The sequence below is a fragment of the Homo sapiens genome, chromosome 11, assembly GCF_000001405.40.
Source record: "Homo sapiens chromosome 11, GRCh38.p14 Primary Assembly".
Lineage (NCBI taxonomy): Eukaryota > Metazoa > Chordata > Mammalia > Primates > Hominidae > Homo > Homo sapiens.
The window spans coordinates 65446775-65467843 of record NC_000011.10 but is presented as its reverse complement, the minus strand read 5'-3'; the positions used below and the strand labels follow the sequence as shown (position 1 = coordinate 65467843).

The following is a 21069-nucleotide window of genomic DNA, read 5'->3' as shown; positions in this document are numbered from 1 at the left end:
GACCATTATAAAATAAACTGCTAAGAACATTCACGTACATGCTTTTGAGTGGGGATAAGTTTTTGTTTCTCTAGAATAAATGCCCAAGAGTGCAGTGGCTGGGTTGTATAATAATTATATGTTGGCCGGGCATGATGGCTCACGCCTGTAATTCCAGCACTTTGGGAGGGCGAGGAGGGTGGATCACCTGAGGTCAGGAGTTTGAGACCAGCCTGGACAACATGGTGGAACCCTGTCTCTACTAAAAATACCAAAAAAATTATCTGTAATTACCTGTAATCCCAGCTACTCAGGAGGCTGAGGCAGGAGAATTGTTTGAACCCAGGAGTCAGAGGCTGCAGTGAGCCAAGGTGGCGCCATTGCACTCAAGCCTAGGCAACAAAGCGAGACTCCGTCTCAAAATAATAATAATAATTATTATTATATGTCTAGGTTTTTAAGAAACTGCTGAACTGTTTTCCAGAGTGGCGGAACTATTTTATGTTTCCACCAACAAAGTATGAGAGATTTAGTTTCTTTGCCTGCTTGCCAGTATTTGGTATTGTCATTGTTTTAATTTTATTTGTTCAAATAGGTGTGCAGTGATATCTCATTTAGTCATCCAGGTTTTTTTTTTTTTTTTTTTTTTGAGACAGAGTCTCACTCTGTTGCCCAGGCTGCAGTGCAGTGGCACGATCTCAGCTCACTGCAACCTCCGCCTCCTGGGTTCAAGCAATTCTCCTGCTTCAGCCTCCCGAGTAGCTGGGATTACAGGCATGCGCCACCACACCTGGCTAATTTTTTGTATTTTAGTGGATACGGGGTTTCACCATATTGCCCAGGGTGGTCTCGAACTTTTTTTTTTTTTTTTGAGATGGAGTCTCGCTCTTGTTGCCCAGGCTGGAGTGCAGTGGCACGATCTCGGCTCACAGCAACCTCCACCTCCCAGGTTCAAGCGATTCTCCTGCCTCAGCCTCCAGAGTAGCTGGGATTACAGGCATGCATCACCACGCCTGGCTAATTTTTGTATTTTTACTAGAGACAGGGTTTCTCCGTGTTGATCAGGCTGGTCTCAAACTCCTGATCTCAGGTGATCCACCCGTCTAGGCCTCCCACAGTGCTGGGATTACAGGCGTGAGCCACCGCACCCGGCCTTCGAACTCTTGAGCTCAGGCAATCTGCCTGCCTCAGCCTCCCAAAGTGCTAGGATTACAGGCGTGAGTCACCATGCCCGGCTGGTCATTGAGTTTTTAATTTGTAGAATACACACCAAAAAGTTCTTTTGATTCCAGGAGATTGAATTCTCTCATCATTCACCTCTCTGTGGACAGACAAGCTAGACATCTATTTGTATTTAGTAGGTGATAATGACCCCTTGGCAAGTGTTACATCTAGTTACCATCCCGTGTGAGACACTCAAGTGAGTGGGGTATGGGGAGAAGCATGGAAGCAGGACCTTCCTAGGGAGAAGCAAATCACAGCTGTAAGGAGGGTAGAGACCAGAGGTTTTCCAGCCCATCCCCATCCTTCTGAGGTCATTGTCCTGTGTCTTCAGGCAGCAACTCTCAGATATTTGCTGTGTTCTTCATTCGTTACCTTCTAGGCTACAGTTGCCACAGTGTGGTATATGTTTAGGGGTTTTCTTCTGGCCTTGGAGACTTTCAGGAGCATCTGTGGTTTGCTGAGGAGTTAGGTTCACCTTGTTTTGAGCTGTGAAGTGTTGTCCACAAATATCTGGCTGGTTGTACAGGGTTGACTTGCAGTGAGAGGCAGTTATTACCTATGAGAGATGGTCAAGGTCATTTCACAGGGCCCAGAGCGTCAGGGTTGGAAGCAGTTCCTTCTCCAGATTTCCTCCTAGACTCGGGCTTTGGCCGGAGTGAAGGTATTGGTATAGAGTCCACTGCTGGCCTGGCTACCACCGCTCCAGCTAAATGAAAAAGCACTTGGAACAGAAAGGAGTCTTTGATGGGGATGGCAACACATCCTCCAGGGTTTGAAGGAACAGCTGGGATATAAGCTAAGCCCATCACCTCTGCTGGCAGAGATCAGAGCACAGCACTTGTGACCCTGAAGGACAAGTCCTATTTAAACTTTTAGGATCACCGGGCGTGGTGGCCCATGCCTGTAATCCCAGTGCTCTGGGAGGCCGAGGCGGGCAGATCATCTGAGGTCGGGAGTTTGAGACCAGCCTGAACAACATGGAGAGACCCTGTCTCTACTAAAAATACAAAGTTAGCCGGGCGTGGTGGCGCATGCCTGTAATCCCGACAACTCGGGAGGCTGAGGCAGGAGAATCGCTTGAACCCGGGAGGCGGAGGTGGCGGTGATCCGAGATCGCGCCATTGCACTCCAGCCTGGGCAACAAGAGCAAAACTCCGTCTCAAAAAAAAAAAAAAAGAGAGAGAAAAAAAACCTTTTAGGATCAGTGATTCCATAACTTCAGGAAGGGCATAGTTCCTGAGCTCTGATTCTAGCTACTGCCAGAAGCTAGTAGCTCCACTCAAAGTGATAAATTCTTTTTTTTTTTTTGAGAGGGAATCTCGATCTGTCGCCCAGGCTGGAGTGCAGTGGCACGATCTTGGCTCACTGCAACGTCCGCCTCCTGGGTTCAAGCGATTCTTCTGCCTCAGCCTCCTGAATAGCTGGGATTACAGGCGCACGCCATGACACCTGGCTAATTTTTAAATATTTTTTAGTAGAGATGGGGTTTCACCATGTTGGTCAGGCTGGTCTTGAACTCCTGACCTCGTGATCTGCCCTCCTCAGCCTCCCAAAGTGCTGGGATTATAGGCGTGAGCCACCGTGCCCAGTCCAAAGTGACAAATTCTCAAGATATAGCCATGGTGAGTTCACAAAGAGCTTTGAGAGTTCTTTATATATTATAGACACAAGTTCTTGATCAGATATTTGATTTGCAAATATTTTCTTCAGTCTGTGGCTTGTCTTCATTCTTTTTTTTTTTTTTTGAGACAGAGTCTCACTCTATCACCCAGGCTGGAGTGCAGTGGCATGATCTCGGCTCACCGCAACCTCTGCTGCCTGGGTTCAAGCGATTCTCCTGTTTCAGCCTCGTGAGTAGCTGGGATTACAGGTGCCTGCCACAGCGCCTGGCTAATTTTTGTATTTTTAGGAGAAACGGGGTTTCACCATCTTGGCCAGGCTGGTCTTGAACTCCTGACCTCATGATCCACCCACCTTGGCCTCCCAGAGTGCTGGATTACAGGCGTGAGCCACCACGCCTGGCCGTCTTCATTCTCTTAAAAATGTTTTTTTTGAAGAACAGAAGTTCTTTCTCTTTTCCTTTTTTTGATACAGGGTCTCACTCTGTCGTCCAGGCTGCAGTGCAGTGTCACAATCATAGCTTGCTGCAGCCTCCACCTCCCAGGCTCAAGTGATCCTCCCATCTCAGCCTTCCAAGTAGCTGGGACTACACGTGTGCCACCACCATGCCTAAACTTTTTTTTTTTGAGACAGAGTCTCGCTCTGTTGCCCGAGGCGGGCAGATCACCTGAGGTTGGGAGTTTGAGACCAGCCTGAACAACATGGAGAGACCCTGTCTCTACTAAAAATAGAAAAAATTAGCTGGGTGTGGTGGCGGGCAGCTGTAATCCCAACTACTAGGGAGGCTGAGGCAGGAGAATCACTTGAATCCGGGAGGTGGAGCTTGCTGTGAGCTGAGATCGCGCCATTGCACTCCAGCCTGGGCAACAAGAGCGAAACTCCATCTCAAAAAAAGAAAACACTGTCCTTTGTCCACTAAATTGCCTTTGACTTTTGTCAAATATTAATTAATCATATATGTATGGATATATTTGTAGACTTTCTGTTTTGTTCTGTTAATCTGTTTGTCTATCTTTTTTAAAACAAAACAAAACAAAACAGGGTCTTACCTTGTCATGCAGGCTGGAGTGCAATGGTGTGATCTTGGCTCACTGCAGCCTCAAACTCTTGGGCTCAAGTGATACTCCCGCCTCAGCCTCCCAAGTTCCCAGGTAGCTGGGACTACAGGTGCATGCCACCACACCCAGCTAACTTTTATTTTTTGTAGAGATGGAGTCTCACTAGTTGACCAGGCAGGTCTCAAATTCCTGGACTGAAACAATCCTCCCGCCTTAGCCTCCCAAAGTGCTGTGATTACAGGCGTGAGCCACCACATGGCTTATTTCTCTTTTGGGTTTTTTTTTTCTTTTTTTTTTTTTTTTTTTTCAGTCTTACTCTGTCACCCAGGCTGGAGTGCAGTGGCGTGATCTCGGCACATTGCAACCTCTGCCTCCTGAATTTAAGTTATTCTCGTGCCTCAGCCTCCCGAGTAGTTGGGACTACAGGGTGCCCACCACCACACCTGGCTAATTTTTTTTTTGGATTTTTAGTAGAGACGGGGTTTCACCATGTTGGCCAGGCTGGTCTTGAGTGATCCGCCTGCCTCGGCCTTTGTCTAATTTGTGCCAATACCACACTATCTTGATTGCTGTAATTTTATTTATTTACTTATTTTAGAGACCGGGTGTCGCTATGTTGCCCAGACTGGTCTCAAACTCCTGGCCTCAAGTGATCTTCCCACTTCGACCTCCCAAAGTGCTGGGATTACAGGCATGAGCCACCGTGCCCAGCCAATTTCTGTAATTTTATTTTTTTTGAGACTGAGTCTCACTCTGTCACCTAGGCTGGAGTGCAGTGGTGTGATCTTGGCTCACTGCAGCCTCTGCCTCCTGGGTTCCAGCGACTCTCCCACCTCAGCCTCCTGAGTAGCTGGGATTACAGGTGCTTGCCACCATGCCCAACTAATTTTTGCATTTTTATTTTTTTTTAATTTTTATTATTTTTTTTGAGACAAGAGTCTCACTCTGTTGCCAGGCTGGAGTGCAGTGGCATGATCTCAGCTCACTGCAGCCTTCACCTCCCAGGTTCAAGTGATTTTCCTGCCCCAGCCTCCCGAGTAGCTGGGACTACAGGTGTGCGCCACCACGCCCAGCTAATTTTTTGTATTTTTAGTAGAGACAGGGTTTCATCATGTTGGCCAGTATGGTCTCGATCTCTTGACCTCATGATCCGCCTGCCTTGGCCTCCCAAAATGCTGGGATTACAGGCCTGAGCCACTGTGCCTGGCCTAATTTTTGCATTTTTAGTACAGATGGTCTTTCGCCATGTTGGCCAAGCTGGTCTGTTTCTAACTCCTGACCTCAGGTGATCTGCCCACCTCGGCCTCTCAAAATGCCGTGATTACAGGCGTGAGCCACCATGCCCACCCAAATTTCTGTAATTTTTTTTTTTTCCAGACAGAGTTTCACTCTTGTTGCCCAGGCTGGAGTGCAATGGCATGATCTCGGCTCAGTGCAATTTCTGCCTCCTGGATTCAAGCGATTCTCCTGCCTCAGCCTCCCAAGTAGCTGAGATTACAGGTGCCCACCACCATGCCCAGATAATTTTTTTTTTTTTTTTTGAGACGAAGTCTCATTCTTGTCCCCCAGGGTGGAGTGCAACGGCGTGATCTCGGCTCACTGCAACCTCCGCCTCCTGGGTTCAAGTGATTCTCCTGCTTCAGTCTCCCGAGTAGCTGGGATTACAGGCGCCAACCACCATGCCCGGCTAATTTTTGTATTTTTAGTAGAGACGGGGTTTCACCATGTTGGCCAGGCTGGTCTTGAACTCCTGACCTCAGGTGATCCGCCCACCTCGGCCTCCTAAAGTGCTGGGATTACAGGCGTGAGCCACCACGCCTGGCTAATTTCTGTAATTTTATATTAAGTCTTGGTTATATAAGTCACGTAGTTTAACTTTTCCAGTTTTATTATTTTCAACATTGTCTTGACTATTCTAGGTCCTTTGCATTACCACAAGAATTTTGGAATGAGCTTGTTAACTTGTATTAAAAAGCCTACTGGGATTTTGACTGGTATTGCATTGAATAGTTTATTTTGGAAGAATCATCATATTAACAATATTGAGTTTGGTATATCTCAGCTCAATATTGAGATGGTAAATCTCTATCTGGTAATCTCTCAGTAATGCTTTGTAATTTTCAGAGAACAGGTCAACTGCTTTTCAAATTCATTCCTAAGTATTTCATTTTTAAATGATATTGTAAGTGGCTATATATATATATATATGTTTTTTTGTGTGTGTTTTTTTGAGAGAGAGAGAAGGTCTCAGTCTTGTCCCCCAGGCAAGAGTGCAGTGGCATTATCATAGCTCACTGCAGCCTCAAACTCCTGGGCTCAAGCGATCCTCCTACCTCAGCCTCAGCTCAGGAGCTGGGACTACAGATGCCCGCCACCAAACCTGGCCAAATTAAAAAAAAAATTATGATTTTGTTGAGAGACAGAATTATAATTTTTTTCTTTTTCTTTTTCTTTTTGGTAGAGACAAGGGTCTCACTATGTTTCCCAGGCTGAGCTTGAACTCCCAGCCTCAAACAATCCTCCAACAGCAGCCTCCCAAAGTACAGGATTATAGCCATGAGCCACCACATTTGGCTGTATTATGTTTTAAGATTTTCAATTTCCAGTGTTTCATTGACAGTATATAGAAATAATATTGATTTTTGTATTGATCTTACAACTTGCAACATTGCTAAATTACTTTTTTTTTTTTTTGGCAGAGTCTCACTCTGTCGCCCAGGCTGGAGTGCAGTGGCGCAATCTTGGCTCACTGCAAACTCTGCCTCCTAGGTTCAAGCAATTCTCATGCCTTAGCCTCCCTAGTAGCTATTTGGTAATTTTTGTACAGACAGGATTTTGATGCTGGCCAGGCTGGTCTCGAACTCTTGACCTTAAGTGATCCACCAGCCTCTGCCTCTCAAAGTGCTGGGATTACAGGCAGCTGCCATCACGCCCAGATAATTTTTGTATTTTTAGTATAGACAGGGTTGCACCATGTTGACCAGGCTGGTCTTGAACTCCTGACCTCAGGTGATCTGCCCGCCTTGGCCTCCCAAAGTGGTGGGATTACAGGCGTGAGCCACCGCGCCTGGCCTCAGACTTCTTTTAACTGCATGTTTGGATTACTGTACTAGGAGGGTCTTTTACATATATTTATCTTATTTTATTTTTCCCACGGGAAATAGGTGGTGTGGTGGGCAGCTTCTAGCTCCAGTGATTCTCCACCTCCTGATATTGACATCCTTGTGTAGTCCCCTTCCACGCTGTATCCGAGTTGATGTGTGATTCTGTGTGATGGTTCTAAAATGTAATGCATGAATAGGCCAGGCATGGTGGGTGGCTCACACCTGTAATCCCAGCACTTTGGGAGGCTGAGGTGGGAAGATCGCTTGAGGTCAGGAGTTCAAGACCAGCCCGGCCAACACCAACATGGCGAAACCCCATTTCTACTAAAAACACAGAAATGGTCTGGGTGTGGTGGTGTGCGCCTGTAATCCCAGCTACCCAGGAGGCTGAGGTGGGAGAAATGCTTGAACCCAGGAGGTGGAGGTTGCAGTGAACCTAGATGGCACCACTGCATTCCAGCCTGGGCGACAGAGGGAGACCCTGTCTCAAAGTAAATAAATAAATATGTAATGCATGAATAGGAAATTTGAGGGCCAGTAAGGCCAACAGATCAGGAGATGACCACTGGAGAGCTTGTTGCATTTCTCAAAAGGAAGGGGCATGCATACCATGGTGGAGGAGGGTGTTCGTCAAGAGTCAGAGGGGAAAGAGGGGAAGACGGGAGCTGTGCAAGAACCTTTCTTTTTTTCTTTCTTTTTTTTTTTTTTTTTTTGAGATGCAGTCTTGCACTGTCACCCAGGCTGGAGTGCAGTGGCGCGATCTTGGCTCACTGCAACCTCCGCCTCCCGGGTTCAAGCAATTCCCCTGCCTCAGCCTCCCGATTAGCTGGGACTACAGGTGTGAGCCACAACGCCCGGCTAAGTTTTTGTATTTTAGTAGAGACGAGGTTTCACCATGTTGGCCAGTATGGTCTCAGTCTCCTGACCTCGTGATCTGCCCACCTCAGCCTCCCAAAATGCTGGGATTACAGGCATGAGCTACTGCGCTTTGACCTGCAAGAGCCTTTCTTGTGGTTTCTGAGGGAAGGGGTGGGCAGGACAGGATAACAGTTTTAGGACTGCTAGTTTCAGGATTGGTCAATTTCAGGCTCTGGGGCATAGGGGCTGTCCCTTTAGTCTGGTACCGCGCCCTGGGGTGATTAGGGTAGTGACCGGCAGCCTGAAGTGGGAAAGCATGATAAAGGAGATGGTGGGGGGGTGCGCGCTCTGGACTGGTTGGTTTGCATTTGAAAAGCACACTCTCAGGTGAGTTGTTCTCTATCCCTAAGAACTCTTGGAAGAGGTGGTCCCTCCAGTGGGGTCAGCAAGGCTCCAGATGTCAAAGCATCAGAATAAAGAAAATCAAAGACATGGCTAATACAGTGGCCAATAGAATATGAGAGAAGTGTTGATGTATCGCTTCCAAGACTAGGTTATATAGATACAGTGCCGATCAGTGTGCTCTCTCTCTTTCTCTGATCACTTGTTCCAGGGAAAGGCAGCTTCCATGTTGCCAGGAGCTGAGGCCTTTTGCCAACAGCTGTGTGAATGAGCTCTTTCTCATGTGGATCCTCTAACCCCAGTGATGAGGCTACGACCACATGTGTAAGTTATCTATTGCTGCGTACAAGTTAACTCAAAGTTTTCAAATGATTGCAATCTCTTAAGAGACCCTGGGCCAGACACGGTGGCTCATGCCTGTAATCCCAGCACTTTGGGAGGCCGAGGCAGGTGGATCACCTGAGGTCAGGAGTTCGAGACCAGCCTGGCCAATATTGTGAAACCCTGTCTCTACTAAAAATACAAAAAATTAGCTGGCATGGTGGCACACGCCTGTAATCCCAGCTACTCGGGAGGCTGAGGCGGGAGAACCACTTGAACCTGGGAGGCAGAGGTTGCAGTGAGCCAAGTTTGCACCATTGCACTCCAGCCTGAGAAACAAGAGCGAGACTCCGTCTCAAAGAAAGCAAAACAAAACAAAAATAAGACCCTGAGCTGAAACCTCCCAGCTAAACTACTCCCAGGTTCTTGACTTACAGAAACCAGAGATATAATAAATATTTGTTGGTTTAAGCTACTACACTTTGAGGTAACTTTTATGCAGCAATAGATAATACATGTGATACTAGCCTCATTTTATGGATGAAGGCAAAACTCAGAGGGTAAGATGACCAGGTCAAGGTCACGGAATAAACAAGTGACAGAAATGACTTGCCCTCAGAGAGGAGCCTTGCCCATGGTACATTCTCCACAAATATTTGTTGAATTGGCCCATCTTTTTTCTGCTATCATTAACTAAAAATTGAGGCACAATGGTGATTAGTTAAGATCAACATAGCCGGGCGCAGTGGCTCACGCCTGTAATTCCAAGCACTTTGGGAGCCCAAGGTGGGCGGGTCACAAGGTCAGGAGATCGAGACCATCCTGGCCAGCATGGTGGAACCCCATCTCTACTAAAAATACAAAAATTAGCTGGGCATGGTGGTGCGTGCCTCTAGTCCCAGCTACTCAGGAGGCTGAGGCAGGAGAATCGCTTGAACCAGGGAGTCGGAGGTTGCAGTAAGTCGAGATCACGCCACTGTATTCCAGCCTGGAGACAGAGCAAGACTGTCTCAAAAAAAAAAAAACAAAAACCCCCCCCCCCCAAAAAAACCAATGTGAATTAACATGGTAACAGCCTGTATGCCTGTTATTGGGCCAGGGACACTTGTTCTCCATTAGGTGCCTTGCTGACCCAGGGAAAGGCAAAGTCCTGTGTATGTGAACATCTGTCCTCTTTGTTGCCCCAAATCCAAATCTTCTTTCAGGGGAATCCCAGGACAGATAAGAAACAGGACCATTATCAGTCTGGGTCCAATCAGCAAAGAAAAAAAAACACACAATAATTTGAATAGGGAGGAATTTTTTTTTTTTTTTTTTTTTTTGAGACAGTCTCGCTCTTTCACCCAGGCTGGAGTGCAGTGGCGCTATCTTGGCTCATTGCAACCTCTGCCTCCTGGGTTCAAGTGATTCTCCTGCCTCAACCTCTTGAGTAGCTGGGACTACAGATGCATGCCACCACGCCTGGCTAATTTTTGTATTTTTAATAGACACGGGGTTTCTTTCTTTCTTTCTTTTTTGAGAGGGAGTCTCGCTCTTTCGACCAGGCTGGAGTGCAGTGGCGTGATATCGGCTCATTGCAACCTCCTCCTCCCAGGTTCAAGCAATTCTCCCTGCCTCAGCCTCCCGAGTAGCTGGGATTACAGGCGCCCGCCACAACGCCTGGCTAATTTTTGTATTTTTTAGTAGAGATGGGGTTTCGCCATGTTGTACAGGCTGGTCTTAAACTCCTGACCTCAGGTGATCTGCCCGCTTCGGCCTCCCAAAGTGGTGGGATTACAGGCGTGAGCCACCACACCCAGCTAGTTTTAACTTTTTAGTACAAAACAATTTCTGATGACTAATGCAGTGAATGGATTTCAGTTCTGTATCTTTTTGAAACATTTTGAACTTGGATTTAAGTTTTGCAACAAGTCCAGTGTTATCACAGACCATTGCAGGGGCACCATCTGTGGTCACACTTACTAATTTTGACCAGTCAACATTAAACTTTTTGAAACTTTTTTTTCTTTTTCTTTTTTCAAGACAGAGTCTTGCTCTGTCACCCAGTGCAGTGGCGTGATCTCGGCTCACTGCAAGCTCCGCCTCCTGGGTTCATGCCATTCTCCTGCCTCAGCCTCCTGAGTAGCTGAGACTATAGGCGCCCGCCACCACGCCTGGCTAATTTTTTTGTATTTTTTTTTAGTAGAGATGGGGTTTCACCGTGTTAGCCAGGATGGTCTTGATCTCCTGACCTTGAGATCCGCCTGCCTCGGCCTCCCAAAATGCTGGGATTACCGGCATGAGCCACTGTGCCCAGCCGACTTTTTTCAACATACAAAAATAAGTCACTTTCAGTGGTTGGATCTGCCATAGGTACCATGTCTAAAAGTTCTTCAATGATATCAAAATTCTCAGCAACACCATGGATAAACATAATTAACTGACTTGTATTATTTACATATGTGCACTCATCAACTGCAATAGAAAATGTCACAAATGATCTCACTTTTTCTCACAACTTATCCTGTAAATTCTCAGCCATATCTTTTACTCTCTGAGCAACAGTTTTTCTGGTTAGGCTTATGTCTGCAAATGCTTCTTTCTGTTCAGGACACATGATTTCCGCTGCACTCAATAGACAGTCTTTTATAAACTCACCATCTGTAAAAGATTTTGAAGCACGGACAATTTTTTCACTTATTATGTAACTGCATTTCACAGCAGCATCACTTATTTTATTTGTATTCGATGATTAATGCTGTAGAAAGTTTAGTCCTTTTCTAAGTTCATTGAGTTTTTCATCATGCATCTTTTCTGTAAACTAGTCAAAATTCTCACCATGGTTTGTTTCATAATGACATCTTCAGTTGTATTCTTTTGACACAGACAAAGTTTGGTTACATATTAAACACATAGGACTATACTTCCACAAAGAAATATGCTTGCTCCCACTTCTCTTGAAACACGCGGCGCTATCAATCCATCTTTCATTTTCCCACTTTTGATAGAGACATAGGAACAAAAAGAGAATTCACTTTTCTTTAAGAGAAACAACAGCGCAAGCCTGATGATAAATGGTGGCTGGCCCTGGAAGAGGGAGGTGTGGAGATGGTGGCAAACTGTAGAGCCTTCCAAAGGGACAGCCACCACTCAGCTAGGGCAGATTGCTGGTATGTGGGAACACAGGCCCAATGTCACCTGATCTCCCCCATTTTTTTTTTTTTTTTTTTGAGACGGAGTCTCTCTCTGTTGCCCAGGCTGCAGTTCAGTGGTGCGATCTCGGCTCATTGCAAGCTCTGCCTCCTGGGTTCACGCCATTCTCCTGCCTCAGCCTCCGGAGTAGCTGGGACTATAGGCGCCCGCCACCACGCCCGGCTAATTTTTTTTTTTTTTTTTTTTTTTTTGTATTTTTAGTAGAGACAGGGTTTCACCATGTTAGCCAGGATGGTCTCGATCTCCTGACCTCGTGATCCACCCACCTCGGCCTCCCAAAGTGCTGAGATTACAGGCGTGAGCCACCGCGTCCGGCCGATCTTCCCAATTTTTGAAGCAAAGCCAGACACTGAATTTTAACACAAAATCAGCTGACTTTTAGACATTGTGAACTAAAGAAAAAAGAAAAAAAAAAGTAACACACCGTGCAGGGCAAACCAAGTAAGTCTAAGTGTCGTGAATTGCCCCTGGACACCAGTTTGGGGCCCCTGTAGCCCCACTCACCTCCTAGCCTGCGGCCAACCACTTCCAGGGTTGTCAGGGCTTCCACCCCACACTGACCCAGGGTGGCTTCATTCTGTAAGGGAGAACCTGCCAGAAGCACAACCTTATCTTCAGGGATGAGGCCCTCCAGGGATGCTACATGGGCCTTCAAAGGAAAGGGAGAGTCAAGAGTGTTGTCTGGGGAAGCCACAGGAGGAAAGGCAAGTAGTGGCTGGGGTAAGGATGATCAGGGATACATCATTATCTTTACCTTGCTCTGGGCAACCGTCTCCAGGCCGGTCACTTCAAGAGTGTGCAGCTCCCGGGCGCGCACGTAGGCGACTTGAGGACAGAGGAGACTGAGGTCAGCAGCCCCACCTCCTCGCCACGCCCCTCGCCACGCCCGTCGGCGTCCGCGCATGCGCGGGCGCCGTCCTGGAAGCCCTGGGGCTCTCCGAGGGGGCGCTCTGGACGGTCCTCACTGTGCTCTAGTCGGTCCTCGTCGTACTCTAGTCGGTCCCGCGGAGTTGGACAGAGAGCGGGCTTCCTGCTAGACGGTGGGATACGGTAGATGTTGAGAGCGGCTGCTCTCTGGACATCTCTGCTTAAACATAGACAGGGTTGGAGTGCCGAGCAATAGAGGTGGCGAGGGGTCGCCCACAGACTGTGCGGCGGTGCTCCAAGTGTGGCCAGGGTGTAGAGGTCGCAAACAGGGAAGGGGAGGTCCCAAGTAGGTGGCCCCAACTACAAGGAGCCAGCCGTTCGGTTTGGCTCATGCGGGGCATGTTGGGGCGGCCCAGGATTACATCCCGCTTTGTATGTAGCCCATCTTCCGTTGCAACTCTCGGGGCTAGTCCAGCCCTGGCTGTCGTGTTGGAAAGAGAAATGCTAGAAGATTCTTAAGGCAGAATAGTTACATCATTTATTGTAGGAAAAAATCTAGGTCTGAAGCCCAAATCAGAATTTGCCCTTTCTGAGCCTAACTTTTCAATTCTGTAATGCTGGGTAAAAATAATTATTGACTTGAAAGATTTCGAGAAATGTATGGACTGTCACATAACACAGTGATGAGTGTGTCTGCAGAAAGCCAAAACGGGAAAGCTGGGAAAACACTGTCCCGGAGACGCTCCCCACCACGCCCCCCGGGAGCCTTGCTCTGTTGCCCAGAGCAAGACTCTGGGCTGGAGTGTGGTGGTGTGATCTTGGCTCACTGCAACCTCCGCCTCCCAGGTTCCAGTGATTCTCCTGCCTCAGCCTCCCGAGACGCTGGGATTACAGGCTCACGCCACTATGCCTGGCTAATTTTTGTATTTTTAGTAGAGACAAGCTTTTGCCATGTTAGCCAGGCTGGTCTCGAACTCCTGACCTCGTGATCCGCCCACCTCGGCCTCCCAAAGTGCTGGAATTACAGGCATGAACCACCGCACCCAGCCCCAGAGAGGCTTTTTAACCCAGCCTGGAGTGCAATGGCACAATATCAGCTCACTGCAACCTCTGCCTCCTGGGCTCAAGCGATCCTCTCACCTCAACCTCCCAAGTAGTTGGGACTATAGGCATGCGCCACCACTCCTGGCTAGTGTGTGTGTGTGTATTTTTTGTAGAGATGCGGTTTTGCCACGTTGCCCAGGCTGGTCTCCAACTCCTAGATTCAAGCGATCCAACCTCCTTGGCCTCCCAAAGTGCCAGGATTACAAGCAGGAACTACTGCGCCTGGTCAAGACAGACTTTTTTTTTTTTTTTTTTTTTTAGACAGAGTCTCACTCTGTGGTCCAGGCTGGAGTGCAGTGGCATGATCTTGGCTCACTGCAACCTCCGCTTCCTGGGTTCAAGCGATTCTCCTGCCTCAACCTCCTGAGTAGCTGGAATTACAGGTGCATGCCACCACGCCCGGCTAATTTTTGAATTTTTAGTAGAGACGGGTTTCACCATGTTGGCCAGGCTGGTCTCGAACTCCTGACCTCAAGTGATTCACCCACCTCAGCCTTCCAAAGGATTGGGATTACAGGCATGAGCCACCGCACCCACCCAGCAGACTTTTAAATATTGTTAATAGTTCAGATTTTGGAGCCAGACTGAAATTAAGTCCCTGCGCTATAGTTTGTAATCCATATGACTTTGAACAAGTTACATAATCTTTTTTTTTTTTTTAAATCTCACCAACCAGAAGCAGCAAGTTACACAATCTTGAATCAGTTTTCTTTTCTGAGAATGGAAATAGAACTTACTCATTGTTATGATAATATATTTCAAAAGCATCTAGAAGAGTGACACGGAGTAAGCAAGTCACAATGTTGAGTCAGACTTGGGATCCAAAAGTTTTTCAGGATTGTTCAAATGCATCTCCTCCCTGGAGCCAGGAAGATTGGAGAAGCTGGTGCATCAGAGCCCCACCCTTCTTCCGGCCTTGTATCCAGCTAGTCTCCTGGGCTCTTAGCAAACTGAACCCAGGGCTTTTCCACTTCCAGGCCTTTCTTTGACCTGTTGCTTCTGCTTGGCCCCTACCTGGAGTACTGTTTTTCTTTCACCTGTTGAGAGTCTGCCCATTCTTGGAGACAAAGGGCCCTACTTCCGGCGTCTACCACAGGCCTGCATATGCTTGTGCTGAGGTATCTCACCACAGATCCTGCTTCCACCAGTCGGACGCAGCGGACCATGGGGTGTAGGGGTGGGGCTCTTCCATAAAGAATGAAATCACGTCCTTTGCAGCAAGTGGATGCAGCTGGAGTTCATTATCCTGAGTTAATGCAGAAACAAACTCAAATACCACATGTTCTCACTTATATAGTAAGTGGGAGCTAAACAATAGGTATACATGGCCATAAAGATGGAAATGACAGACACTGTGGACTCCAAGAGTGGGAACAGAGCGGGAGGGGCAAGGGTTGAAAAACTACATATTGGGTACCATGTTCACTATTTGGGTGCTGGGTTCACCAGAAGCCAAAACCCCAGCATTATGCAATATATCTGTAAAACAAACCTGCACATGGACCCCCTGAATCTATAATGAAAAAAAAAGAAAAAGGCTGGGGAGGGTGTCTCACACCTGTAATCCCAGCACTTTGGGAGGCTGAGGATGGAGGATCACTTGAGCCCAGGAGTTCAAGATCAGCCTGGGTCATGTAGTGAGACTCCATCTCTATTTTTTTTTTTTATTGATCATTCTTGGGTGTTTCTCGCAGAGGGGGATTTGGCAGGGTCATAGGACACTAGTGGAGGGAAGGTCAGCAGACAAACAAGTGAACAAAGGTCTCTGGTTTTCCTAGGCAGAGTGTTTGTGTCCTTGGGTACTTGAGATTAGGGAGCGGTGATGACTCTTAACGAGCATGCTGCCTTCAAGCATCTGTTTAACAAAGCACATCTTGCACCGCCCTTAATCCATTTAACCCTGAGTGGACACAGCACATGTTTCAGAGAGCACAGGGTTGGGGGTAAGGTCACAGATCAACAGGATCCCAAGGCAGAAGAATTTTTCTTAGTACAGAACAAAATGAAAAGTCTCCCATGTCTACCTCTTTCTACACAGACACGGCAACCATCCGATTTCTCAATCTTTTCCCCACCTTGCCCCCTTTTCTATTCCACAAAACCACCATCGTCATCATGGCCCGTTCTCAATGAGCTGTTGGGTACACCTCCCAGACGGGGTGGTGGCCGGGCAGAGGGGCTCCTCACTTCCCAGTCGGGGCGGCCGGGCAGAGGCGCCCCTCACCTCCCGGACGGGGCGGCTGGCCAGGCGGGGGGCTGAGCCCCCCACCTCCCTCCCGGACGGGGCGGCTGGCCGGGCGGGGGGCTGACCCCCCCACCTCCCTCCCGAACGGGGCGGCTGGCCGGGCAGAGGGGCTCCTCACTTCCCAGTCGGGGCGGCCGGGCAGAGGCGCCCCTCACCTCCCGGATGGGGCGGCTGGCCAGGCAGGGGGCTGAGCCCCCCACCTCCCTCCCAGACGGGGCGGCTGGCCGGGCGGGGGGCTGACCCCCCCACCTCCCTCCCGAACGGGGCGGCTGGCCGGGCAGAGGGGCTCCTCACTTCCCAGTCGGGGCGGCCGGGCAGAGGCGCCCCTCACCTCCCGGATGGTGCGGCTGGCTGGGCGGGGGGCTGAGCCCCCCACCTCCCTCCCGGACGGGGCAGCTGGCCAGGTTGGGGGCTGACCCCCCCACCTCCCTCCCGGACGGGGCGGCTGGCCGGGCGGGGGGCTGACCCCCCCCACCTCCCTCCCGGACGGGGCAGCTGGCCGGGCAGAGGGGCTCCTCACTTCCCAGTCGGGGCGGCCGGGCAGAGGCGCCCCTCACCTCCCGGATGGGGCAGCTGGCCGGGCAGGGGGCTGAGCCCCCCACCTCCCACCCGGACGGGGCGGCTGGCCTGGCGGGGGCTGACCCCCACCTCCTTCCCGGACGGGGTGGCTGCCGGGCGGAGACGCTCCTCACTTCCCAGACGGGGTGGCAGCCAGGTGGAGGGGCTCCTCACTTCTCAGACGGGGCGGCCGGGCAGAGACGCTCCTCACCTCCCAGACGGGGTCGCTGCCCGGCCCAGGCGCTCCTCACATCCCAGACCGGGCGGCAGGGCAGAGGCGCTCCCCACATCTCAGACGATGGGCGGCCGGGCAGAGACGCTCCTCACTTCCTAGATGGGATGGCGGCCGGGAAGAGGCGCTCCTCACTTCCCAGGTGGGATGGCGGCCGGGCAGAGATGCTCCTCACTTTCCAGACTGGGCAGCCAGGCAGAGGGGCTCCTCACATCCCAGACGATGGGCGGCCAGGCAGAGATGCTCCTCACTTCCCAGATGGGGTGGCGGCCGGGCAGAGGCTGCAATCTCTGCACTTTGAGGGGCCAAGGCAGGCGGCTGGGAGGTGGAGGCCGTATCGAGCCGAGATCACGCCACTGCACTCCAGCCTGGGCACCATTGAGCACTGAGTTAACGAGACTCCGTCTGCAATCCTGGCACCTCGGGAGGCCGAGGCTGGCGGATCACTCGCGGCTAGGAGCTGGAGACCACTCCGGCCAACACAGCGAAACCCCGTCCCCACCAAAAAAACATGAAAACCAGTCAGGTGTGGTGGCACGCACCTGCAATCGCAGGCACTCGGCAGGCTGAGGCAGGAGAATCAGGCAGGGAGGCTGCAGCGAGCCGAGATGGCAGCAGTACAGTCCGGCTTTGGCCCGGCATGAGAGGGAGACCGTGGAAAGGAGAGGGAGAGGGAGAGGGAGAGGGAGACGGGAGAGGGAGAGGGAGACGGGAGAGGGAGAGGGAGACGGGAGAGGGAGACGGGAGAGGGAGACGGGAGAGGGAGAGGGACAGAATCTCCATCTCTATTTAAAAAAATAAAAAATTGGCCAGGCATGGTGGCTCACGCCTGTAATCCCAGCACTTTGGGAGGCTGAAGCGGGCAGATCACTTGAGGTCAGGAGTTTGAGACCAGCCTGGCCAACATGGTGAAGCCCCGTCTCTACTAAAAATACAAAAATTAGCTTGGGCGTGGTGGCACATACCTGTAATCCCAGCAACTCGGGAGGCTGAGGCGCGAGAATTGCTTGAACCTGGGAGATGGAGGTTGCCTTGAGCAGCGATCGCACCATTGCACTTCGGCCTGGGCGACAGAGTGAGACTCTGTCTCAATAAATAAATAAATAAATAGAAAAAGCTGGCTGGGCACGGTAGCTCACGCCTGTAATCCCAGCACTTTGGGAGGCCGAGGCGGGCGGATCAGAAGGTCAGAAGATCAAGAGCATCCTGGCTAACATGGTGAAACCCCCTTTCTACTAAAAATATAAACAATTAGCCGGTTGTGGTGGTGGGCGCCTGTAGTCCCAGCTACTTGGGAGGCTGAGGTAGGAGAATGTCGTGAACCTGGGAGGCGAAGGTTGCAGTGAGCTGAGACCGTGCCACCGCACTCCAGCCTGGGTGACAGAGCGAGACTCCGTCTCAAAAAAAAAAAAAAGCTACCTTCACATCTGGGCTTGTGGTTGGGGGGTGTTGGGGAAAGACCTTGAGAAGAGACATGTGTACTTTGGGAGCATTGAGGTGGATTGGCCAGCTAGGTACACTGACCCTCTGCAGACTTTGAGGAGTCAGCTCCTCAGCTGGCGGGGTTGAGGCCTCAGGAGAATTAGCTTATAATCCTTATCTTCTGCAGAGCCCTCCATCCAATCTGCGCTGCTTTCTGCGGGGCTCCCAGATGCGTATAACATCACCCGCCTTGATGAGAAGACAGGGAGACATCTGGGAGGTGGGTGGGCGGGTCAGACTCTGGTCTTTGCCCTTTTGGGCTGAGGGAGTGAGGGCCCGGGAGGGGCTGCCCTTCTTGTCCTCTGGAGGGATGAGGCCCCTGCTGGGCCCTATTGACCCCCCTTTCTCTGGCCCTGCAGAAAAACATGGAGGGCTTCCTCAGTGCAGTACTGGGTTTGATACCATCACTCAGATCATTGAGGTGATGCGGACTGCGCTGGCTGAGGGTAGCTATGTCCTGATCCCTAGAGAAGGGCTTTTGAAGTGGCCAAGCAGCCTGCATCACAGTGTCTCCCATAGACAGGCCCCCAGGGGCCTCTGAATGGGGGAGGTGCTGAAACCATGGCTCCTGGAGCATAGTAGGTGGAGATCTTTGAGACCAGGCCTGCCCTAAAAGAAGGGTGGGGGTGGGAACCTGAAGAGGTGTCAGCAGGAGGAGGGAAGATGGGGGCGGAGTCAACAGCAAGGCTGCTGTTGTCTGTGGAGCCCCACCAGGAGCAGTCTGGCAACGGATTGGCCCCTTTGTCAATTAGGAGATTGGCTGGCTCCTTTGTCCAGTTCCTTCCTGCTTCATGGGGGTCCCTGGGCTCAGCTGTTCAGGCTAGATAGGGTGACCAGTCCCTCTGTCTCAGTCCTACTCCAGCAGGAGGCAGATTTAGACTCTGGCAGTGAGTGTGGTGCTGGAAGGGAGCGGGCCTCACACCCCTTCCTCCTAGGCCACCTTGTCCCTGTGATCTCACTTCTATAGATGTGACTGAGGCCATGCCCCACATGGCATGCCCAGAGAACAGCCCCCCTTGAATGGAGGGGCCCCATTCTGTCTCTGGCAGCAAGGTCCTGCCTCAGGGCAGGGGATGGGTCATGGGGTGATCCCCACAAGTCTCTTTGACTTCAGGTCCCCTTTCTCTGCCCTGACATAGCACCCTGGAGTGGTTTCCCAGGGCCCTGTGGCTGGTGCCTGATGCAGGGTGAGTTAAGAGCACTTTGGGGACCCAGGACAAGAATGTCCTCCTTCCACGGCTACTCCGGCCTCAGCTCAGGTCCAGAGTGAGGTGCTGCTTTTCAATGGGTGAAACTCTAAGGAAGGTGTGCTTTTTTCTTCTCTTCCCCAGACAGAAGGGGACAAGCCACCTGCTATGGTTTGCATGTGGTGTTCCCTCCAAAAGCCACATTGAAACCTAATCACCAAGATGACATACTGGAAAGGGGGCCTCTGAGAGGGGATTGGGTCATGAGGGTTCCTCCTTCACAAATGGACTGGGGCCCTTATAAAAAGAGCTTGTGGCTGGGCATGGTGGCTCATGCCTGTAATCCCAGAACTTCGGGAGGCTGAGGCGGGCAGATCACGAGGTCAAGAGATTGAGACCATCCTGGCCAACATGGTGAAACCCCGTCTCTGCTAAAAATACAAAAATAGCTGGGCATGGTGGTGCACGCCTGTAGTCCCGGCTACTTGGAAGGCTGAGGCAGAAGAATTTGGGAGGCGGAACTTGGGAGGCGGAAGCTGCAGTGAGCTGAGATAGTGCCACTGCATTCCAGCCTGGTGACAGAGTGAGACTCCATCTCAAAACATAAAATAAAAAGAGCTTGTGGGAGTGGGTTTGCCATCTTCTGCTCTTCCACCATGTGAGGATGCAACAAGAAGGCCCTCCCCAGATGCCTGTACCTTGATTTTGGATTTCCCAGCCTCCAGAATTGTGAGACCTAAATTTCAGTATCAGGTATTGTTTTTTTTTTTTTGAGACAGAGTCTCGCTCTGTCACCAAGGCTGGAGTGCAGTGGTACGATCTCAACCTCCGCCTCCTGGGTTCAAGTGATTCTTGTGCCTCCGCCTCCCGAGTAGCAGCTGGGATTACAGGCGCACCCCACCACACCTGGCTAATTTTTGTATTTTTAGTAGAGACGGAGTTTCACCATGTTGGCCAGGCTGGTCTCTAACTCCTGACCTCAAGTGATCCGCCCACCTCGACCTCCCAAAGTGCTGGGATTACAGGCATGAGCCACCGTGCCCACCTGTAACTTTTTAATACCTTCCCTGTGGCAAGCAGTAAATGTTATCCCGAATTTTCTCAACAACCCTGTGAGGTAGCTATCAGTGACTCCATTTTATTTATTTGTTTTTGTTTTTGAGACACGGTCTCACTCTGTCACCCAGGCTGGAGTGCAGTGGTGCAGTCATAGCTCACTGCAGCCTCAACCTCTTGGGCTTATGTGATCCTCCCACCTCAGCCTCCTGAGTAACTGGGACTACAAGCATGAGCTACTGCGCCTGGCGGACTCCATTTTAGAGATAGAGAAACGGAGTCTCACACAGGCTAGGTGGCACTCAGATGTCCATGCTCTTTTGCCGTGTGGTGGCTCCTCTCTGTCTTCAGTCCTGGGCTCTGTGCCTTGGCTCATGTATGAGTCTAGGCCTGTTGGTCCCCAGTGGCAGGCTGATCACATCCAAGGACAGCAGATCCTGCAGCTCCTCCCTGCTGCCCTTGCAGTTGCAGGGGTGGACTTGTGGCCTCACCACCCAGGCATGGCCGGCCAAGACCTCGGCTTCACGCTGCCTCTTCTCACCCCTTGAATGAGAGAGACACCAGCTCCGGAGGGGATTTT

At 50.5% G+C, this 21069-nt stretch overlaps 1 pseudogene across 3 annotated transcripts, besides 6 other annotated features; it reads right to left on the bottom strand.

Moving 5' to 3' along the window:
* Positions 1-834: 834 nt before the first annotated feature.
* On the bottom strand, positions 835-12558 carry FAUP4 (FAU pseudogene 4; annotated as a pseudogene). 3 transcript variants are annotated; one of them, NR_160548.1, is made up of 4 exons: positions 12513-12558; positions 12263-12407; positions 12025-12150; positions 10973-11206 (listed from the first exon to the last, which is right to left on the bottom strand). The product of NR_160548.1 is annotated as an FAU pseudogene 4, transcript variant 2 (transcript). The 3 variants fall into 3 exon arrangements; NR_160549.1 differs by lacking the exons at positions 10973-11206; positions 12025-12150 and adding an exon at positions 835-1759; NR_160547.1 differs by lacking the exons at positions 10973-11206; positions 12025-12150; positions 12263-12407 and adding an exon at positions 835-1759.
* Positions 7901-8546: an enhancer, noted in NCBI's record as "OCT4-NANOG-H3K4me1 hESC enhancer chr11:65226769-65227414 (GRCh37/hg19 assembly coordinates)". NCBI's record gives its function as "activates a minimal SCP1, AML or CMV promoter by ChIP-STARR-seq in naive H9 embryonic stem cells {active_cell/tissue: H9 hESC(naive)}" and the evidence as "EXISTENCE:reporter gene assay evidence [ECO:0000049][PMID:30033119]".
* Positions 7988-8047: a silencer, noted in NCBI's record as "silent region_3525". NCBI's record gives its function as "represses an Ori minimal core promoter by ATAC-STARR-seq in GM12878 lymphoblastoid cells {active_cell/tissue: GM12878}" and the evidence as "EXISTENCE:reporter gene assay evidence [ECO:0000049][PMID:35858748]".
* Positions 12492-12795: a silencer, noted in NCBI's record as "fragment chr11:65222520-65222823 (GRCh37/hg19 assembly coordinates)". NCBI's record gives its function as "represses an EF-1alpha promoter that drives an FKBP-Casp9 reporter gene in an ReSE screen in K562 erythroleukemia cells {active_cell/tissue: K562}" and the evidence as "EXISTENCE:reporter gene assay evidence [ECO:0000049][PMID:32094911]".
* Positions 12834-13013: an enhancer, noted in NCBI's record as "active region_4973". NCBI's record gives its function as "activates an Ori minimal core promoter by ATAC-STARR-seq in GM12878 lymphoblastoid cells {active_cell/tissue: GM12878}" and the evidence as "EXISTENCE:reporter gene assay evidence [ECO:0000049][PMID:35858748]".
* Positions 13034-13143: an enhancer, noted in NCBI's record as "active region_4972". NCBI's record gives its function as "activates an Ori minimal core promoter by ATAC-STARR-seq in GM12878 lymphoblastoid cells {active_cell/tissue: GM12878}" and the evidence as "EXISTENCE:reporter gene assay evidence [ECO:0000049][PMID:35858748]".
* Positions 20629-20678: an enhancer, noted in NCBI's record as "active region_4971". NCBI's record gives its function as "activates an Ori minimal core promoter by ATAC-STARR-seq in GM12878 lymphoblastoid cells {active_cell/tissue: GM12878}" and the evidence as "EXISTENCE:reporter gene assay evidence [ECO:0000049][PMID:35858748]".